Source organism: Homo sapiens, chromosome 2 (assembly GCF_000001405.40).
Source record: "Homo sapiens chromosome 2, GRCh38.p14 Primary Assembly".
Classification (NCBI taxonomy): Eukaryota; Metazoa; Chordata; class Mammalia; order Primates; family Hominidae; genus Homo; species Homo sapiens.
In genome coordinates this window covers 89,109,089-89,132,643 of record NC_000002.12, presented here as the reverse complement: position 1 = coordinate 89,132,643, position 23,555 = coordinate 89,109,089, and the positions used below count along the sequence as shown (strand labels likewise).

The 23,555-nt window shown below is 38.6% G+C and overlaps 1 pseudogene, 1 gene segment (V, D, J or C) and 1 further gene, besides 4 other annotated features; 2 read left to right on the top strand and 1 right to left on the bottom strand.

Annotated features, from left to right (window-relative positions):
- IGK (immunoglobulin kappa locus) overlaps positions 1–23,555 on the bottom strand; it is a 1,378,008-nt gene that overhangs the window by 1,102,725 nt on the left and 251,728 nt on the right.
- Positions 3,162–3,210: a sequence feature (IGKV2-18 leader sequence).
- Positions 3,162–3,938, top strand: IGKV2-18 (immunoglobulin kappa variable 2-18 (pseudogene); annotated as a pseudogene). Its single transcript is given in 2 exon segments — positions 3,162–3,210; positions 3,628–3,938. Coding segments are annotated over 2 exon segments (360 nt in total).
- Positions 3,628–3,638: a sequence feature (IGKV2-18 leader sequence).
- Positions 14,827–14,881: a sequence feature (IGKV1-17 leader sequence).
- On the top strand, positions 14,827–15,302 carry IGKV1-17 (immunoglobulin kappa variable 1-17). The segment is given in 2 exon segments: positions 14,827–14,881; positions 15,007–15,302. Coding segments are annotated over 2 exon segments (351 nt in total), but the record flags the coding sequence as incomplete, so codon positions are not given.
- Positions 15,007–15,017: a sequence feature (IGKV1-17 leader sequence).

The window sequence follows — 23,555 nt, the reverse complement described above, 5'->3', positions numbered from 1 at the left end:
TGCTTAGGACGGCTTTGTCTATTCGGGCTCTTTTGTGGTTCCATATGAATTTTAGAATAGTTTTTCTACTTCTGTGAAAAATTTTGTTGATAGTTTGATATAAATAGCATTGAATCTGTAAATTGCTTTGGGCTATGTGATCATTTTAAGAATATTGATTCTTTCCATCCATGAGCATGAAATATTTTTCCATTTGTTTTTGTCATCTCTGATTTCTTTCAGCAGTTTATTATAATTCTAGTTGTAGATATCTTTCAGCACCCTGGTTAACTGTATTCCTAAGTACTTTATTTTCTGTGGCTATTGTGAATGGGATTGCATTCTTGATTTGGCTCTCAGCATAGACATTGTTGGTATATAGAAATGCTACTGGTTTTTTACATTGATTTTGTATCTTGAAACTTTGCTGAAGTGGTTTATTAGATCCAGGAACATTTGGGCAGTGAAGACAGGGTTTTCTAGGTATAAATTATATCAGATGCAAAGAGAGATAGACTGACTTCCTCTCCTCCTCTGGCTAGGACTTCTAGCCCTATGTTGAATAGGAGTGGTGAGAGTAATAAGCATCCTTGTCTTGTTCTGGTTCTTAGAGGAAGTTCTTCCAGCTTTTCACCATTCAGTATGATGTTGGCTGTGGGTTTGTCATATATAGGTCTTATAATTGTGAGGTATCTTCCTTCAATGTCTAGTTTGTTCAGGGCTTTTAAAATCAAGGGATGATGAATTTTATTGAACGCCTTTTCTGCATCAGTTGAGATGACCATATGGTCTTTGTTTTTAGTTCCTTTCCTCTCAGATCCTGTCCTGAAAATCTAACGAGTCCTACTAATATAATAAGAAACAAACAACCACACATGCTCCCCCACATTGTGCTGTGAGAGCTGACCCCTAGGATCTCAGACATGCAGATCATATGAGACCTAATAAAGGGATTCTCACAAGAGATTTTCCACCTAAGAATTCTGGTGCTAGCTGTCCTCGCAGTAAAATGTTCTCTGCCTCTGATCAAAATTGACACCAAATGATAACACAATGGAAATGTTTAGAAGAAGAAGGACAATCACACTTTTAGAAAGATAAAAGACATGCCTTATGCCTGTAACAGTTTCCTATTGCTAGGGCAACTAATTACCACAATTATACCGCATTCAGTATGATTTATTATCTACAATAAATCCTATCAAATTTATTATCTACAATTCTGGATTGAGAAGTCTTACTGAGCTAAAATTAAGGAGTCACTAGGGCTGTATTTCTTCCGGAGGCTCCAGGGGAGAACATCGGATTTCTTGATTTTAATCTTCAAGATACCGTCATATTCCTGGCTCCATAACTCCTTCCTCCATCATTCCAGCACATCCACGCAGGAAAAAAAAAAGATGCGAACTTACATTTAAATCTGCGTCTCTCTAGAATTTGATCCTGGCAAGCTGGATGTAAGCAAGTTTCTCTAAAAAATCAGGCTCATGAAAGGCCACAGGAGGACGGTGCACAGGCTAGACTGCTGTGACTTGGCCTCCCCTAGTCTTGCGTGCGAATGTTCCCTGGAGTCCTCAGGCTCCAGTCTACTGATGCTGATGCAATTTATTCCACTCCTTCTGTTGCTGAACCAGGCTGAGACAATCAGGGCCAAGTTAGATATGTAAAAAATCGGATTTCAAATCTTTGTCCAATTTTATTAGAATCTAAAATACTTTTCCATATACGTAAGCAGTGGCTTGCCAGGAGATGAAGACTCTCCCTCCTACCAATCCCAACAGAGAAGCTGGAATCTGGGTCAGGATGATGTCCCCATTCATTGCTTAAGCGTAAAAGAGGAAAGTGGCATTGATGGTGCACAGCAGGAACATACACCCAACAGCTCAATGACCTGGCCTTTCCCTGGTGCCTCCCCCTCACCTGCTCTCCAGAAAGCCGGGGTCTAGGAGAGCAGTTCCTGAGTTCACAAGAACATGCTAGTAGGGAGTAGAGCTCAGAGCATTACTGAGGGAATATGATATTGGTCTCTACTGTCTCTACTAAAAATGCAAAAGATTAGCCGGGCATGGTGGCGGGCGCCTGTGGTCCCCAGCTCCTTGGGAGGCTGAGGCAGGAGAATGGCCTGAACCCGGGAGGCAGAGCTTGCAGTGAGCCAGGATCACGGGCCACTGTACTCCAGCCTGGGCAACAGAGCAAGACTCCATCTCAAAAAAAAAAAGAAAAACAAAAATCTATATTCCATAGTTCCACCTTGACAGTTAATATACACAAACTTCATTCAGTTACACTCTTAATATTTGTGCCCTTTACTCTGGGGATTTTGTCAACTAAAATGAAACTAATTTAAAAACCTAGATGCTAAAATAAATATGAAAATAATAAATAAGAATAACTGGCCAGGTGTGGTGGCACATGCCTGTAATCCCAGCACTTTGGGAGGTGGAGGCAGGAGGATCACTTGAAGTCAAGAGTTCGAGACCGGCCTGGCCAACATATGAAACCCCATCTCTACTAAAAATACAAAAATTAACCAGGCATGGTGGTGCACGCCAGTAATCCCAGCTAGCTCGGGAGGCTGAGGCAGGAAAATCGCTTTAACCTTGGAGGCGGAGGTTGCAGTGAGCCGAGATCCTGACACTGTACTCCAGTCTGGGTGACAGAGTAAGTGAAACTCTGTCTCAAAATATATATATATATATTTATACACAAAATAATATATATATTTATATATATTTATATATATCAAAAATATATATATTTATACATATATACATATGTGTATATATATGTATGTGTGTGTATATATATAATAAAATTAAATAAGAATAACCAAATATTTATGGAAACTCAGCCTATTAAAGACAAGTGTAAAATGTGTCTGGGAAAGTGAAAACAATGTAGAAATCTCTTAGAGGAAATAGAAGAACATGATTAAATATGTCCCTTTTTCCACTCAGGCAGCACAAACTTTATTAGGTTCCCTCTAAACACAGAGGACACATTATGTCACTGTGCTCACACTAGATGTCCCCATACTCTCCTTGGCTCTTTCCACCCCACTGCACCCACCAGGGGATTTGCATACTGTCCCCTAGGGAGGACCTTCCATTGTGAGTCTGAGATAAAAGCTCAGCTGTAACCTTGCCTTGACTGATCAGAACTCCTCAGCTCACCTTCTCACAATAAGGGTCCCTGCTCAGCTCCTGGGGCTGCTAATGCTTTGGGTTCCTGGTAAGGACAGAAGGGAGATAAGGGAGGAGAATGGAGTGTGAGGGTGAGCTCTGGGGGTCCCACTGCCTGTCCACATGCACATCTTGACCTGCAAGAAAAGGTGTATAAAGTTTAGAACTGCAAGAGTCAGAAAGAGAAGATTCCTCACTCTTATAGTTCTAAACTTCATATCCTAGAAGGACAAAGGACTTGTGCTCTCATGAAGAGTGTCACACAGGAAGAGGATAATAGTGTAGGCGACTTCTTGAGTCTCTTTTGTGCCTTGTGAATGTTGGTTCTTTTTATGCCTGGATGTTTAGGGGTATGAACCAAAGTCACACAAAAAAATCACTTAGCATAAAGTAGATAACAGAAAGAATATCATTTCAATGGTTCCCAATATTTGTACATAACTTTGCACTTCTCTCACTATTTCAGGATCCAGTGGAGATATTGTGATGACCCAGACTCCACCCTCCCTGCCCGTCAACCCTGGAGAGCCGGCCTCCATCTCTTGCAGGTCTAGTCAGAGCCTCCTGCATAGTAATGGATATACCTATTTGCATTGGTACCTGCAGAAGCCAGGGCAGTCTCCACAGCTCCTGATTTATAGGGTTTCCAATCATCTTTCTGGGGTCCCAGACAGGTTTAGTGGCAGTGGGTCAGGTAGTGATTTCACACTGAAAATCAGCTGGGTGGAGGCTGAGGATGTTGGGGTTTATTACTGCATGCAAGCTACACAGTTTCCTAACACAGTGGTACAACCCTGAACAGAAACCTCCCTTCTTGCTGTGGTTCAGCTGCCCAAATGTGTTGTTTATCTGGAAAGCAGACACTGTCTATTATCTTGGGAGAGTAAAGAGGAAGATGATGGAGAATTCAGGAGAATACATTACAGCTGAGGGCTCTTGACCATCAATATCTCCGTTACATCTCAGGTACCACAATTTAGTCCCCATCAGTTGCAAGAGTCTTGGCCTGGCAGAACTTGCAGGAGAATGGAGGGAGGTCAAGTGCCCTCTGAACAACCAGTCATGTTGCAAGGGAAAGCTGAATCAAAGCTCATCGTAATCCTCTCTGCCTTGCCTACGTTCATTCACTAACTAAATTCATTCAGCCTGACAGCCACCTAAATGAAACAGATTAGTGGCAATACAAAACTAATACGTTCTTGGTTTTGATTTGGTTTAGCAGTTACTAGTGTACATGTACCTTGACAAGATTTGGTGATACTAAAACAGTTTCTCTCCCATCTTCTACCTTCCACTTTACACTTTTCTTAACATATATCTCTCTCTGGGACAGCAGGAAGCACAGCATTTTATCCTATTTTTTTTTCAGGGAGTGCTTGCGTGTATTTACATTCTAGACTTTGTAACTGCTAGATATATTTTGGTAAGTTTATGCAAAAACAAAGACCTAGTGACAAAAATCTTTGAACAATCTTATTCACAGTATGTTGAAATGAAAAGAAAATTCTATGAAATCCAAAGCTGTGTTTTAAAAATAAATATCCAAGTTTCAAAAGACAAAAGAAAAAACGACTAAAAATGTATGCCATAGTCAAAAATGTATGCCATATTCAATGGAATCTGGATTAATATAAAATAATATATAAGCTTATATTTTGCCCCTTGAAAAATAATAATCTATAGACTTTGGGCAGAGGGCAGTAAATGAGAATGTGAGGGCAGCTGTTAACTGTGTTAGTGGTGGTGTGTTGGAGTTGATATATGAACCCAAGTGGAAGCTCTGCTGTATTTCTTGGGGAGTTGTGGGGATCCTGCGTGGAGTTCAAGACTGTGCTCTGATGCAATGGCAAACTCCCAGGGAAGTATTGCATCACACAGTCTTTAGTGACTCAAAGAGAGTCCCTGTCCAAATGTACCTCAGGTCATATCACACATTCCTAGTCAATCCAGCAGGATGTAGAAGACCTTGGAAAAGTAGATTCTGCCCCCATCATTTACCTGGGAATGATTAGAGAAAGAAAGGATCATTCAAGAAAGCTTATAGTTAAAATAAAGATGATGCTGACCAGAGCAGTGCAGGGGCTGGGAAGATGAGTAGGAGGTGTAGTGGTGGGAGCCCAAAGCCCATATTTCAGACACACATAAAGGAAAATCAAGGCAGCATGGTAGGGGAGAACTCAGGAGAATGCAGGAGGTTTCACTGTGTGTCTCTAGCCAACCCACCCAGCTACCATTCTCAACCCAGGCCTCAACAAATGTCCCAAAGAGAAATTCAGCCTGGTGTTAAGGGCTCCACTCATGCCATATAATCCATAATCTGTAAGGCACGTACATGCCTCTGCCAAAGGTGAGATGAATTCCCCACTCTTGTAGAGATCTTCTGCCTGGACCAAACCAGAATCTCCAATCACGCTCGTATTTGGCAAATTTCACTAAGACACAAAGTGACAGGAGGACACAAGGCAATATACAAAGGCATCTTTCCTCTGTGGAATTTTAGGCTATCTGTTCTTTATTTGTTCCACAACTCTCTGATGTTATAACAAACATGATTTTTTAAGTTCATTTTTGCTCTCCTGAATTTATTGCAATTCTTGTGTCCATCTTCTAAGGCCTATTCCTTACTACTTCACTACTGAAAATAAATTGTTCTATTAAATTACAAAGTAGGGATGTCAGTTTGAATATTATATTGCAAAACATTCACATCTAGATCAATAAATGCACATGGCACATGGAAATGAAGGAGAAAAACAACTGCAGAAATGATAATGATCATGTCAGTGTTTAAAATATTTGATACTGAATACCAAACATGGAACACTGAATTCAATATTCCAGTAATGTATGCTGAAATTACATACACATATGCTTTAAATATACTACATTTACAATAATACTTTAATATTATTTTGATCCATAAAAGGGCATATGTATTATTTCATCATGCTATAGTAGAAGTAGATGGTTTGAATTAAATCAAAATGATCCTGCTTTTGATTAAGGACATAAGCTATCTGGCAGATGGCTGCCTTTTCCAAGAAAATATATCCAATGGCAAGTATACTTAATATATCTATGTATTATCTTTGCTGAGTATGAAGTTGTATGGCAATATTTATATGTAAGAAAAACAACTCAAAAGGAACTCAATCCTTCCAAGGAAAATAAATATCAGTAAGTAATTTAACATCTTTGGGGCCTTTGAAAAGGAAAGAAAAAAATGAGGCAAAATGAATGTGCAAATAAATACTGTTTGTAAAACAACAAAATATTAGGCAGCTATATATCAGTAGTACTCTATAAAAGAAATGCTAAAGACAGTTCTGCAACAGAAGGAATGCAAGACTAAATAGAAACATAAAGATACATAAGAGATAGACACTGGAAAGGATATGTATAGGAATAAATACAAACTAAAATTTGCACACGACTATAGATGTCATGGTTTGTGAATTTTGCAATGCATATATAACTGAATTGCATGAAAAATAACACGAAAAAGTAGTGTAAATGGAATTTAAAAATCTAACTCTATTTTAGGAAATGGTAAATTAATATTTGGTACTAGGAAGTAATAAGTTGAGGATAGCTGCTGTATAATAAATGATTGCATGTTTAACAAGTTAATGTAAGGAAAAATATAACAAAATGTCTAATCCAAAGGAAAGCAAGAAAGCAGGAAATTTGAAAAAAAAAGGATGGTAGATTTATCTCTAACTACCAATAATTTAGACATCATAAACAGACAAATTTATCTAAGTAAAATTTTTAAATTATTAAACAAGATTAAAATGAAAGGTTTATGCTGCTTATAAAATACACACTGCAATAATATCATAAAATGACTTTGAAAATTAAAAAACGAAAAGTACATATCATGCAAAAACTGAATTGACGAAACCTGACTTATACTTTAAGGCGAAGGAGAAAAGGGGACATTTCATAATGATAAGTGGGTCAATCTATTAGGAAATCATTAAAATACTAAATCTATATAGACCCAAAACATAACTTAAAAATATATAAATAAAAAATTGATTAAATTAAGAAAAAGTCAACTCCATGTTATGGTGGGAGACTTTATGCTCAAGAGGTGATAGAAAAGCAGAAAATAACATAATAAGGATTTAAAAGATTTGATCAGTATAATTACCACATTTGACATAGTTAAAGAAGAAAAAAGGTATATGGTCGTCTCAATTGGTATAGAAAGAAGCACTGGACAAAATTTAGACCCTGTTTATGTAAAAATGTCCTAGAAAATTAGAAATGGAAAAATACCTTCCTTACCTCTTAGAGAATACACAGGCAGACAGAGAGACAGACAGACACACACACACACACACACACACACACACACAATCACAATAAATGCTGAAAAATTGTTTTTCTTCATTTTGGAATTAGATATTTTTAAAAGATGTAAAGTATCATCATTCCTAGATAATACTGTACTGGACCTCTTACTAGTATAAAGGGCAAGAAAAAGAAATAAAATACATGAGTACTGGAAATAAAGAAAACGAATAGTTATTATTTGTAGATGGTGTAATTGTTTGGATAGTAAACCAAAACCACAATCTAGAGGTCTTCTTTAACATTTTAATAATGTTTTGTACAGTATCAAGACTTCACATCTTAGGCCCGCCGCAGTGGCTCGCACCAATAATCCCCATACTTTGAGATGAGGCAGGCGAATGACATGAGGCCAGGAGTTTAAGACCCACCTGGCCAACATGGTGAAATCCTGCCTCTACTAAAAATACAAAAATTAGCCAGTCGTGGTGGTGTACACCTGTAATCCCAGCTACTCAGGAGGCTGAGGCACGAGAAGAGCTTGAACCCGAGAGACGGAGGTTGCAGTGAGCTGCGATTGTGCCATTGCACTCCAGCCTGGGCGATAGAGACTGTCTTAAAAAAAAAAAAAAAAAAAAAAATGCCGGGCGCAGTGGCTAAAGTCTGTAATCCCAGCACTTTGGGAGGTGGGCGGATCACATATTTCACAATTCCATCTCCAATTTGTTTGTTGCTGGTATGATCTTTTTGCACATGGTTTTTATATTTATTGACTTTTCTAAATTTATTTATTCATTCAAAAATATGTATTTGCCTTTACTACATTTACCTGATTTTTAAATTGTCCTTTGAATCGTGTACTAGCTAATAACATTAAATGGACTTTTAGAAATAAAATTATATATGTTCCTTATAAAAATTCTATGGGCATCCCTACCAGATTTAGATACTTGACTTTCTGAATTTATTTCCGAAAATAAGTTCTCTGTTTATTATTGATTCACCAAGAAAAAATAAGTAAAGAAATATTTTCCTATTAACACCCTCGTCTCTATGAGAAATCATCAGCTCTATGTAACTATTTTTGCCGACTGCAAGCCCATTTGCTGATTGTCTACTGAAGCTCTTGGCATAAAAATACAACAGTGAGTTCTAGAGAAGACCTGATCCTGTGCTGCCTGGATCATAAGAGAAAGACCAATAAAATAATGGAGTATATACCTGAAATTTTGAATAGTCAAGCATTCCAATCGGTGTATTATTTTCTCAGAATGTATTTATTGAAAATTCAAAGCACAAAAAGAATGCAATTTAGCAAGCACTTACTTAATAGGGCAAGGATGATACAGTGTTTAATAAGGTACCTTCTAGAGCTGTGGTCAAGACAGATTTTGGTGCTCCTCCTCTTTCAGTAAAAAAAGACAATGATTTGTTGATTTCTCCTATGTGCCTAGGAAAGGTGAGTGGCAACATATTCGAGATATAACTAATTCTGTTACAGAGCAAAAACCAGTGATATCTTCTCAGTAGCATTTTTTGTCTAATATGTAAACTCAGAAAATAATTATTAATTAATAAATAATTTTAGCTGCTTTAAAATTACGCATTTTCAAATATGTTCCTAGGTGCCTCTTTTCTTGCAGTTCAAGAAATTAACTTGCAGTTCAAATATGAATTCACCTGATAAGAAAAGAATAGTGTGTCTTAGCAGATATTACAGTACATTGCACAAAACCTTCACATATCTAGGACTCAAAAATATATTTGACACATTTTAAACATGAAAATATTATTAAATTAGTGATTCAGACATTTAATTAATCTTTTAAGGTAATTTGTGCATTGGCTTTTTGTTAGACATATCAACACTTCAATTTTTTATTTCTATGTTTGAATTTAAATATATTTAAATTGGTTTAATACAATTATAAAATCAAATTTCAATAAGCAACAAGGAAGTAAACTCTATAAAATATATCAAATACTTAACCATAAATGTTTGCAATAAACTCTGAAATAAAGATTACAATATTATATTGAAACAGTGGCAAGTTCACAAAGAAGTATGTTAAGGCTCACAATAATGAGCAACAAATTAAAGGCAAAACTGACCTATATATAATCACATTACTTTATCCAGTCTGTCACTGATGGACGTTTAGGTTGACTCCATGTCTGCTACTGCGAATAGTGCTGAAATGAACATTCACGTGCATATGTCTTCATAATAGAACAATTTATATTCCTTTGGGTACATACACGGTAATGAGATTGCTGGGTCTAATGGTAGTTCTGTCTTTAGCTCTTTGAGGAATTGCCACACTGTCTTCCACAATGGTTGAACTAATTTATACTCCCACCAAGAGTATATAAGCATTCGTTTTTCTCCACATCCTCTCCAGCATTTATTTTTTGACATTTTGGTAATACCAGTTCTAACTGGTGTGAGATGATATCTCGTTGTGGTTTTGATTTGCATTTCTCTAACAATCAGTGATATTGAACTTTTTTCCATATAAGTGTTGGCCACTTGTAAGTCTTTTGAAAAGTATCTGTTCATGTCCTCTGCCCACTTTTTAATGGGGCTATTTTTTTCTTGTAAATTTGTTTAAGTTCTTTATAGATGCTGGATATTAAACTGTTGTCAGATGCAGAGTTTGCAAACATTTTCTCCCTTTCTATAGGTTGTCTGTTTATTCTGCTGATAGTATCTTTGGCTGTGCAGAAGCTCTTTAGTTTAATTAAACCCCTTTTGTCAATCTTTGCTTTTGTTGCAATAGCTTTTGGTGTCTTTGTGATGAAATATTTGCCCATGTCTATGTCCTGAATGGTATTGCCTAGGTTGTCTTCCAGGATTTTTAGAGTTTTTGGGTTTTACATTTAAGTCTGTAATCCATCGTTAGTTAATTTTTGTATATGGTGTAAGGAAGGGGTCCAGTTTCAATCTTCTGCATATGGCTACCCAGTTATCCCAGCACAATTTCTTGAATAGGGAATCCTTTCTCCATTGCTTGCTTTTGTCAAATTTGTCAAAGATCAGATAGTTGTAGGTATGCAGTCTTATTTGCAGGTTCTCTATTCTGTTCCATTGATCTATGTATCTGTTTTTGTACCAGTACCATGCTGTTTTGGTTACTGTAGCCTTGTAGTATAGTCTGAAGTCAGGCAGTGTAATGCCTCCAGCTTTGTGCTTTTTGTTTACAATTGCTTTGACTATTTGGGCTCTTTTTTGGTTCCATATAAATTTTAAAACAGTTTTTTTCTAGTTTGTAGATAATCACAATGGTACTTTAATGATAATAGCATTGAATATATAAATTGCTTTTGGCAATATGGTCATTATAACGAAATTCATTCTTCCTGTCTATGAACATGGAATGTTTTTCCATTTAATTGTGTCATTTCTGATTTCTTTGAGCAATGTTTTATAGTCCTCTTTATAGAGATCTTTCACCTCTTGGGCTAGCTGCATTCCTAGGTATTTTCTTTCTCTTTGTGGCAATTTTGAATGTTATTGCATTATTGATTTGGCTCTCAGCTTGGCTCTTCTTGGAGCACAGAAATATTAGTAATTTTTGTACATTGAGTTTGTATCCTGGAACTTGGCTGAAGTTGTTTGTCAGCTTAAGTAGCTTTTGGGCTGAGACTATGGGGTTCTCTAGAGATATATTCATGTGAGGCCAGGCGCAGTGGCTAGTGCCTGTAATCCCAGCACCTTGGGAGGCCAAGGTGGGTGGATCACTTGAGATCAGGAGTTTGAGGCCAGCCTGGTCAACGTGGTGAAACTCCATCTCTAGTAAAACTACAGAAGTTAGCTGAGCATGGTGGTGCATACCTGTAATCCCAGCTACTCAGGAGGCTGAGGATGGAGGATCATTTGACTCCATGAGGTGGAGGTTGCAGTGAGCAGAGATTATACTGCGACACTCCAGCCTGGGTGACAGAGCAAGATTCTGTCTCAAAAAAAAAAAGGAAATCATGTCATATGCAGCAAGGATAGTTTGACTTCCTCTCTTCCTGTTTGGGTGCCTTTTATTTCCTTCTTTTGCCTGATTGCTCTGGTCAGTACTTCTAACACCATGCTGTTAGGATTGGTGGAGAGAGGGCATCATTGTCTTGTTACAGTTTTCAAGGGGAAAGCTTCTAACTTTTGCCCACTCAGTGTGATGCTGGCTATGGCTTCGTCCTAAATGTCTCTTATTATTTTGAGGTATGTTCCTTCAATATCTAGTTTGTTGAGAGTTTTTAACATAAAGGATGTTAAATTTTATCAAATGTCTTTTCCGCATCTATTGAGATGATCAAGCCATTTCTGTGTTTAGTTCTGTTTGTGTGATGAATTATATTTATTTATTTGCATATGTTGAACCAAACTTATATCCTGTGGATAAAGTCTCTTGATCATGGTAGATTAGCTCTTTGATATGTTGCTGGATTTGATTTGCTAGTATTTTGCTGAGGATTTTTGCATCGATATTCATCAACCATATTGGCTTGAAGTTGTTGTTGCATCTCTGCCAGGTTTTGGTATGATGCTGGCCTCATAGAATGAGTTAGGGAGGAGTCCCTCCTCCTTGATTTTATATATATATATATATATATATATATATATATATATATATATATATATATTTTTTTTTTTTTTTTTTTTTTTTTTTTTTTTGAGACACAGTCTTACTCTGTTGCCCAGGCTGGAGTGCAGTGATGTGATCTCGGCTCACTGCAAGCCCCACCTCCCGGGTTCAAGCAATTCTCCAGCCCTAGCCTCCCATGTAGCTGAGATTACAGGCGCATGCCACCATGCCAGCCTAATTTTTCTGTTTTTAGTACAGACGGGGTTTTACCATGTTGGCCAGGCTGGTCTCGAACTCCGGACCTCAGGTGATTCACCCACCTCGGACTCCCAAAGTGCTGGAATTACAGGCATGAGTGACCAAACCCAGCCTTTCCTCTTCACTTTTTTGGAATACCTTTAGTAGGAATGGTAACAGCTCTTCTTTGTACATCTGATAGAATTCAGTTGTGAATCCATTTGGACCTGGGATTTTTTTGGTTGGTAGGCTATTTATTACTGATTCAATTACAAGCTCATTTTTGCTCACTTCAGGGACTCAATTTCTTTCTGGTTCAGTCTTGGGAGGGTGTATGCATCCAGGAATTTATCTATTTCTTCTAGATTTTCTAGTTATTGTGCATAGAGGTGTTCATAGTAGTCTCTGATGGTTAGTTGTATTTCTGTGGGGTCAGTGATAATGTCCTTTTGTCACTTCTAATTTTATGTATTTGGATACTCACCCTTTTCTTCTTTATTAGTCTAGCTAGTGGTCTATTTATCTCATTAGCTTTTTCAAAATAAAAACAGGCACTGGCTTCATTGATCTTTTGAATTTTTTTGTGTGTCTTATCTACTTCAGTTCAACTCTGATTTTGGTTATTTCTTGTTTTCTGCTAGATTTGGAATTGGTTTTCCCTTGCTTCTCTAGTTCTTTTAGTTGTGATATTAGGCTGTTAATCTGAGGTATAACTTTCTGATGTGGGCATTTAGTGCTATAAATTTCCCTCTTAACACTGCCTAACCTGTGTCCCAGAGATTCTGGTATATTGTATCTTTGTTCTCATTCATTTCAAAGAACGTTTTGATTTCTGCCTTAACTTCATTATTTACCCAAGTCATTCAGGAGCATGTTGTTTAATTTCCATGGTTTTGAGTGATTTTCTTAGTCTTGAATTCTACATTCATTTTGCTGTGGTCCGAGAGAGGTTGGCATGATTTTGGTTCTTTTGCACTTGCTGAATATTGATGTATGTCCGATTGTGTGGTCAATTTTAGCATATGTGCCATGTGGTGATGAGAATATGTATATTCTGTTGTTTTGGGGTGAAGAGTTCTGCAGATTTATATAAGGTCCATTTGATCCAGGGTTGAGTCCAAGTCCTGAATACCTTTGTTAATTTTCTGCCTCAGAAAATTAATTATACAGATTATAATCTGTATAATACTGTCAGTGGGGTGTTGAAATCTCCCACTATTATTGTGTGGGAATCTAAGTCTCCTTCAAAGTGTCTAAGAACTTTCTTTATGAATCTAGGTGATCTTGAGCTGGCAGCATATAGATTTAGAGTAACTAGATCTTCTTGGTGAATTGAACCCTTTACTGTTATGTAATGCCCTTCTTTGTCTTTTTGATTTTTGTTGACTTAAAGTCTGTTTCATCTGAATTAGAATTAAAATCCTGGTTTTTTTCTGTTTTCCATTTGCTTGGTAGATTTTTCTCCATCCCTTTATATGAGTCCATGGGCTTCATTGCATGTGAGATGGGTCTCCTTAAGGCAGCATAACATTTGGTCTTGCTTCTTTATCCAGCTTGCCACCCTGTGTCTTTTAAGTGGGGCGTTTAGCCTGTTGACATTCAAGGTTAATATTGATATGTTAGATTTGATACCACCATCATGCTGTTAGCCTGTTATTTTGCCAACTTGTTTGTGTGGTTGCTTTATAATGTCACTGGTCTGTGTACTTCAGTGTGTTTTTATAGTGGCTGATAACGGTGTTTCATTTCCATATTTAGTGCTTCTTCCAGAAGCTTGTGTTAGGCAGGTCTGGTGGTAACAAATTTCCTGAGCATTTGCTTGTCTGAAAAGGATCTTATTTCTCCTTTGCTTCCGAAGCTTAGTTTGTCCAAATATGAAATTCTTAGTTGGAATTTATTTTCTTTAAGAATGTTAAATATAGGCCCCCAATCTCTTCTGCTGAGAGGTCTTCTGTTAGTCTGATGGCTTCCCTTTGTAGGTGATCTGTTTTTTCTCTCTAGCTGCATATACTTACAAATATATGCATCATCATGTCAATATATTTTATTTTTAATTTTTTTTAGAAAGCAACAATGATAAACTTACAGAAAAGTTGCAAGTATACAATAAATACCCCCTTCCCTAACCGGAATTATACAATAGTCTTTTAAAGACCTTAGAATTCTATCGTCTAAAACTTTACTATGTGTTTCCTACAAAAAAAGAATATCCTCCTATATACTCCCCATACGCCAATGAAATATGATACTCCACCGACTCCTGAGGAATATTTCAAATTGTCAAAAAAAATCTAAAAAATGTCTCTCGTAACAAAATAGTCTCCAGTAGAAACCCATTCTCTGCAGACAAATCTGTGCTACCCTGATCTTACCTGGGACACCTGGGGACACTGAGCTGCTGCTGAGTTACTGAGATGAGCCAGCCCTGCAGCTGCGCCCAGCCTGCCCCATCCCCTGCTCATTTGCATGTTCCCAGAGCACAGCCTCCTGCCCTGAAGCCTTATTAATAGGCTGGACACACTTCATGCAGGAATCAGTCCCACTCAGGACACAGCATGGACATGAGGGTCCCCGCTCAGCTCCTGGGGCTCCTGCTGCTCTGGTTCCCAGGTAAGGATGGAGAACACTAGCAGTTTACTCAGCCCAGAGTGCTCAGTACTGCTTTACTGTTCAGGGAAATTCTCTTACAACATGATTAATTGTGTGGACATTTGTTTTTATGTTTCCAATCTCAGGTGCCAGGTGTGACATCCAGATGACCCAGTCTCCATCCTCCCTGTCTGCATCTGTAGGAGACAGAGTCACCATCACTTGCCGGGCAAGTCAGGGCATTAGAAATGATTTAGGCTGGTATCAGCAGAAACCAGGGAAAGCCCCTAAGCGCCTGATCTATGCTGCATCCAGTTTGCAAAGTGGGGTCCCATCAAGGTTCAGCGGCAGTGGATCTGGGACAGAATTCACTCTCACAATCAGCAGCCTGCAGCCTGAAGATTTTGCAACTTATTACTGTCTACAGCATAATAGTTACCCTCCCACAGTGTTACACACCCGAACATAAACCCCCAGGGAAGCAGATGTGTGAGGCTGGGCTGCCCCAGCTGCTCCTCCTGATGCCTCCATCAGCTGAGATTGTTCCTCAGATGCAGCCACACTCTGATGGTGTTGGTAGAAGGGGACATGAAGTCACCTCTGCACCCTAATTCTTTTCTCTTTCTCAGCCCCAACTACACAGACATAGCAATGCCTCTCCTAATTTAATACAGACAGAGATCATGACACCTGAGGAGTCTAGTTTATGGCTTCAGTTGGACTTTATATAACAGAGAAGAAGCCACTATAGATATTCTAGGCAGGAATTGTCTTAATACAGAGAATTAAAGTAAACTACTGACGTCTAAATAAAATGTAGAGATGAATCTCTAAATGTAATGTTTTATTTACACAGAAATATTTCCCAAATGGGGCATACAGGAAAACTCAGTGGTCTTCAATATGTGGCAAGAACAAAGAAAAAGTTAGTGTTTCATGAAAAAGGGAAAATATTACCTATGGCTCTTTGAGAAAGTTCATTGGCACTAGGAAGGGTTGGGAGCTGGCAAGCTCAGACTGGGAAGCAGTGGTGGACAAAGTGAATCCTAGAATTATATCAAGTTATCTCAGAAGTTGTGGACAAATTTGATTTCAGGTTACAAGAAGCCAAAGCAGTGAAGGTTGCAGAGTGTTTTGTTACTGAAATACCAGGGATTCAGCGTAGATCCTGCAGCTCACCACACAGAAAGCCAATCACTAAGGCAAGTATTGCCAAGGAAAAGGCTTTAATCAGGTGCTGTAGCTGAGGAGATGGGACACCATTCTCAAATGTATCTCCCTGACCAACAAAAATTAGGGGTTTATATAGCACGGAAGAAATGTGGGAAAACAGGAATTATGGAGGGTTAAGGGAGATAATTTGGTCAACAAGAAGCAGGAGGTCAGTTATGCAGTCATAATGAGTGAAGGGTCTGATGTCCCACTGTCCTGATTCAGTGATATGTAAGTTTCAGCTCCTTGATAGTATCTGGGAGGCCTGATGGTTGGTTTACTGAAAAAAGAACTCAGGTAAGACAGATGTAACTATCTTGAGTTTTAAGATCGGGGAAGTCAATTTCTATGTTTATTCAAAAAACCATAAACATTAGTTCCATGGCATAATAGGGCCTATTTCAATTGCATTCTAGAAACAATATTTTTCACCCTGAGTGCCTTTCCCCTCTGGTTTCATGGCTCTGTTTGGTATGACAAGAATGACCCAATTCCTATGATTAACATTCACACTACAACCTTTCAAAACCAAGGATATAGTATTCAGGAAAGTTGATATTAGAAGCAGCATTCTTTGGTGCTCCCACTGAAAACAGAATGTATCCACCCCTGAAGTAAGGGTTTTCTACCCATGTGGTCCTCAGTCCTGTCTGGAAGTTTAAGTCTGGAATTGCTGAAGTTCTCGCTTCCTAGAGCATCTTTCCAGGTGTTTCTCCAGTCCTCACCTTTGTCTCTCTGCCTCTTAGGTACCAATGGATAATACTGAGTCTTCCTTTTCTCACTTCCAAATCTCATGGGGGACCCTCTTATTGGGCAACCCTATAGGACATGAGAGGTAAAGAGGGATATTTCCATAAGTTAAAATGATTTTCCCCCAAAAAGGTCATTTAAAAAAATTATATTTGAAGCCACATGTTGAAAACACATCCAGCTTTGTTTTCTTATTAATGCAAACTTACATTTGCAAATATTTTCAGGATTGTGAAGGTTGAAAACATGATTATTTGTCTATGGAATGATCAAACACCTCTACAATTAAGTGGAGTAAACATTTTCTTAAAAACTTATACTCATTGAAATAAAGGAATATATTTTAAATGTTTGAAGCTATGTTAGAAATTATTGGACTTAAATTCAACTGTGCGGTTTGGTTTGGGATGTTGATCACTACTGTGACCTGCCACAAGAATCTTGTGTCATGTGTAGTCACTGCTGTTCAGCCTTGTCGTTAAACAACTGATATCTACAGGCTGAATACAATCTACAGGCTCCTCTCTGCTGAGAGGAGCCACTCAGCAGAGACCTTCCTTGATCAGCCAGATGATTGTGAACATGAGCATCTATGAACATGAAAACAAATGTTTACTGTTATCAGCCACTGAGTTGTACATTTAACCAGTTACCGTAATTAATGCATAAACACTTCCTGATACAGTATTTACACCTCTACCTATATAAACATACATATTTTTTCTTGAATTGGTGGTATAAATATGAATATTTAGTAATCAAATTATGAAGTTATTAAGAGAAAAACACAAAATTAAAACTAATTAGTATTTCAATAAAAAATTAAAATTTACCTTCTTTATGGAAAAAAGTGCATATATATTTAAGATACATAGAAGTGAATATATATTTATTTGATAAAATGTTGGCTACAACTACGTACAGTATTCATATTTAAGTACATTTATTCTATTATATATGCAATATATACATATTTTATTTATAAAATATTATCTAAATTATATACATTTAAATAATTGTTACATTCCACACAAAAAAAATGGTATTTGTGATGACACCTAATTCATACTCTTGCTACAGAAAATTTATTTGTAGCCTTTATTTTTAAAACTTTACCAAATGGTTGTCCTTACCTAAAATATTTTTCCAATCCAGTAGAGCTCCAAGGGTAAGGCTAGAGCAAATTTTGACTAATGTTGAATATTAACCATTGCATCCTATAAAAGTCTCCATTATGTTCATGCCCACAATGATGATATTCCAAATAGAGTTCTCACAACAATGGATGCTGGATGGAGTCACATCAGTGCCATTGTCAAGGAAGCCCTGGAAATGTAAAACTCATAACAGTGGGTAAACTGCAAGGCCTACATCTGATGATCACGTTGCAAAGAGAACAGCAGTTTAATAATATTGGCTGTTGGTTTTGACAGATCATCAGGCCTTAAAAGAAATGCAACAGGATGATTTCAGACAAAGTCATTCTGTAAGAGCTATGACTAGAAGTTTCAAAAATGAGCCATAATCAAGAATAAGAAGCTTTCCAAGTGAATATTAATTGAAATGCCATTAACGACCAGGGGGCTTTTAATAATGAGGATGATTCAACATATGGACTTCAGTTACCTCTTCCAGCTTTCCCAGCTAGCCTCACGAACCAGTGTTATGGAGGTCCCTGTGGAGACTCAATAATATGACTTTCAACTAACTGAGATGTACAGGGCTACTGGCTCTTCTGAACACCCAATTTGCCAAGAAAACTGACCCCTCCAGAACCCTTAACATTGTACCACACATCAGGGCTCAGACTAATTACTGGTATCAGGTGATTCTAGTGGACCTCATGGAACATGAGGATGGCAGTGGTTATTTTACTATATATGGATTTGCCTTCCTTTTCGGTTATGTTTCTGCATAAAATATTATTTGTGGATTTTCAAGGAGTTTTCATCAGAGTCAGGAAGTTCTTCCATAATATGGCTTTGGATCAAGCAACTTATTTGCCTCAAAAAAAGTGAAGCAAAATGTAGCTCATGCTCTTGTCATGTGCACAGGTGCAGCTTTCCCTATAGACAGGGAAAAACCCATTATTAGTCAAGCAAAGCTGTCACACAAACCCTTGTGCTATTGAATTGCTATGCTGTCAGAAGTGGTGGAGGCTCTGAAACACTAATCATGAATGGTGCTGTTACTTCCATAAACAGAATATTTATATCTTGAAAATGAGCTGCAGATTCATCATTCTTGTGCCAACTGAACAGCTTGAAATACTCTATTTCTATTTTCTCAGGGCTGTGGTTTTCTGGCTGATGGTTCTTAATGCAAAGAATTGACATGACAATTATTCCAAGAAATTGGAAGAAATGATATGATAAGCATGTCACCATTTAGACTTAATACAATACTGGATAAGTTGTCAACACAGGGCATTCAGATGTGTGCTGGGGCCATAGATGTAGCCCATATAAAGCAAGAGCAAAAATAACTGATTTTACATATTTTAGAGAGGAAGTACAGAAAATATGGACCCTAGGGGACCTTCTGGAATCTTTCTATTTATTGCCATTTCCACTGGTAAAACTCAGAGAAGATTTCAACAGTCATCAGGATGAAGTTCTAGGGATCACAGTCATGTGAAGCATTACTTGCACTTGGATCTCCAGTGAGGCAAAGGGAAGATGAAATGCATAGTGGGATGTGGAGGGGTAAACACCAGAGGCAGACACCTGGTCAGCTTCAACGTTGAAAAGTGTATTTATTTTTTCTCTTTACTTTTATCACTGAATCATTTGGATCTAAGAAAAGCGATTATGGCTGGTTAGGCAGAAAGGTGTTTATTATCATGAATTAAATGGATTGAAAACATTTGGGGAAACCAGAGTGGAAGCTCAGGCAACTCCAAGTACTCCTTTTGCTATTGCTTGACCCTCCTCGCCTCCATATTTTCCACAGTCAAGAAAGATACTCTCATTTTATAGGAACCTGGCAAGTGAAGATATTGTGCCCACAGGACTGTGCTGCCTGGCTGAGACCCAGACCAGGAAAATGAGCACATTTGAGTGAAATCAGACATTTCCCCTCCCTCATCTCAATCCAAAACGACTCTGTAGTGACACATCTGATGGGCAGTCAGAGAAAGGGGTCAGATTTCCAGCAGTTGAGAGTTGATAGCAGAGCTGCTGTCCTCCTGGGGGCAGTAGTGAGAAGAGCTGGTCTCTTTTCTGCTGCAAAAGACAGCTTGAATGTCTCAAGCAGTAGGAGCTCCTCCCCAGCCTGTGCCAGCAGTATGATTCTTGGAATTGTTCTAGAGGCTTTGACTGGAGCCTGTTCTTTAAGGCTTTTCAACAATTTGTAAGGAATTTAATATCTTCTAGTTAATCACTTTATGCTTCATGGATCTGACATTTGCAACAGGGAATATACGCAGTCCGCAGTGACATCATTCACAGCCTCCTTTTTTCTTGCTAAATATATAATGCTTTCCAGGTGGACCTGCCAGAGGAAGACAATGTGAACAACAATCCATGTCAACAAAAATGCAAGACAAATAAGCTCAGGAAAGCCACTGGGTTCTCACCTAGTTGCACTGTCCCCCTGAGTCTTTTTTTTTTTTTTTTTTTTTTGGTCACCTTAGTCAAAATCATGAACAAAGTTGCCAACTTTGAATGGAGCCCTTTGCAACGGTAGCCTTGGAATCTATACAACTATACATGTCCAAGGCATTTATTTAAGACCTTTAGAGCCTGCTTGCTCGATGGAAATCCAGGTATCCACTATTTCTATGCATGCTGACTGGAGTCTGTGGCAATGTCACTAGGTGCACCAGACTCAGCTTTTGGATGCAAAAGTTTCCTGAAGTGGCCACCAGTTGTGCCTCTTTTGAATGGCAACTCCTCGCTTGCTGTAGGAAAATGATAGGGCCTGAGTATCTCAAGATTTCATTTTTTTTTTTTCTTCAGATAGAGTCTCACTCTGTCACTCAGGATGCAGTGCAGTGGCACGATCTACACTCACTGCAACCTATGCCTTCCAGGTTCAAGCGATTCTCCTGCCTCAACCTCCAGAGTAGCTAGGACTACAGGTGCACACCACCATGCCCGGCTATGTTTTGTACTTTTAGTAGAGACAGCGTTTCACCATGTTGGCCAGGCTGGTCTCAAACTGCTGACCTCCAGTGATCTGCCCTCCTCAGCCTCCCAAAGTGCTGGGATTATAGGCGTGAGCCACTGTGCCCAGCCTCCCAAGGTTTCTAAAGTGGAACTCTAACATTCCTGATAAGAACCTGACCATCTTCCAAGGTTGCTGATAGAGCTGGCATTTCCCCAAAGCACCAAATGAGATCTAGCCAGCTGAAGGTGGGATGGTCCCCAGAACTGACCTTTCACTGATTTTTCCTCATTATAATCTCATTGTAATACTAAAATATCCACCCAAGGCAGGGCTTATCCTCCATTTCCTCACCATGTTATATATGTTAGAGCATGACGCTCCACTGCACAAATGCAAAGAAAACTTTGCCTAACCATGCTTGTATGTCATTCCTTTTTCCGCCTCAGCTTCCTTAAAATGGTAAGAGCTGGGCACTTCAAGGAATAGCCACCAGGATCTCTTACCCATAGGCTGCTCCCTTGCTTTGCTCTTGCCACAAACCTATTAAACCTTGCCTGAGACAATTTCTGTTTGGCCTGGTGTTGATTTCTATTTACAAAAGAGGCAAGGGGTCAGGCGCGATGGCTCACACCTATAATCTCAGTACTTTGGGAGGCCAAGGTGGGTGGATCACCTGAAGTCAGGAGTTTGAAATCAGCCTGACCAACATGGTGAAACCCCATCTCTACTAAAAATACAAAATTAGCCAGGCGTGGGGGTACACACTTGTAATCCCAGCTACTTGGGAGGCTGAGGCAGGAGAATCACTTGAACCCAGGAGGCAGAGGTTGCAGTGAGCCGAGATCACACCACTGTACTCCAGCCTGGGAAACAAAAGCAAAACTCTGTCTCAAAAAAAAAAAAAAAAAAAAAAAAGCGGCGGGGAGGAGACAAAGAACTTGGGGTCCCAGCAGCAGCAAAAATTGCATCAGGTGGGAATGAAGAGCTGATTAGAACTTTTCTTCCAAGCCTTTCACTTGCCACTTAGTGATTTTTACCAAGTGTCCTGAAGCTACCTCAAAGAGTAACACTCAAGTAACTCCAGCACTGCAGGTGCAAAGGTGACCACAGCTGCATGGATGGGCAGGACCCAGGCTCTGACACTCAGGCTGCCAATACAATTGCCATGAAGACAGATGTTGATGCCATCCATGAAGGCAGGGGATAATTCCTTGGCTGATTCTCTAATCTCCACTACACTCACTCTGCACAACACATCTATCAAACTAGACTCAATTTCTCTTCTCCTTAATTGTTTTGAAAAACTCTGTTCACAGTCCAGAGCTTCATTTCCTACAAATCTGCACCTTTCCTTTAAGCAGTTAAACTCCTTTGCTTTCTGGACACTTCGCCTGGTCTCAAGGAAGCAATTTTATTAATGCTACTCCAAGTTCTAATGGAATCTTCATCCATCCTGGAATTAGAGCTTCATGTACAGCCAGGCAAGATCCATGCAACAGTCCAGATGTTGTCTTGGCAGGCCCTGAAGTCAAACCCTTGGGGTTGGGGATGGAGCTTTACCGCTTACATGTTGTGTGACATTAGTAAAGTAACTTAACCCCCCTTTGCCTCCTTTTCTATACCCGCAATGCTGTGACAATAATAGGTTCTACCTCATAGGTCGGTTTACAATTTAAACAAGGTAAAAGATTTAGAATATATCCAACAGATAATATGTGCTTCTATTAATTTAGGTATCCTTATAGCTATAATACTTAGCACTTAGCAGACACTTATTGAAAATAGTTTTAAATCCAAGTTCTTTCCATCTACAGCCCCAAGAGGTGCTAAAATGGGGCTTTTTACTACCCAGCTCACAGCCCTTTAAATCCTAAAGATTTTGTCTTGATCCATGCTAAATTGCTCAAATCAATCATGCCCATGCATGTCTGTCCAATGCATTTCTTCTCACCATCCATTATCACAACCTATTATTCTATGATAGGTTCAATTGTCGTATTGCTGTCCTGCTTTCTTGTGTAAGTCTTATTCTATCTTTTAAATCTTTTCTCTATTTCTCTAATACTTGTGCCAAAACTCAAAATCTAATCTCAGTTTCTTTGACATGCTTCTATGCTAATGATGTAGTTTATTTGATGTTGTTTATGCTTTTACTTGTTGGATTCCTATGGAAACAAATTATTTTAAGTGCATGTCCTTCTAAGACCACAGAGCTAGAAGGTGAAAAAAAGCTAAGTGGAAGTGTATGAAGAAGAGTGATTTGGGAAACTAAAGTGTCACTTCTCCAAGAGTTTTCAAGTTGTATTTTATTTTTTGTTTTTTTACAAACCATGTGTGACTTTGTCAAACACTTTTTATCTAAAGCCTTTTTTCTCTAAAAGCCCACGTAGATTACCTACATGCAGTAAAAATCTGCTCGGCCTTTCTCTAGTTTCTCCCTGTATACACCCAGAAGTCCACACATGAGACCCCGCCAGATTTAACAGCCTTGGCCTGGCAGAATCTGCAGGACAATGGAGGGGATCCATGTGTCCCCTGAGGAACCAGACTTGACAGCAGATAAAGCTGAGTAGAAGGGCATCCTAATCCTTTCTGCCTTCCCTACGCATTTTGGTCAATTAAA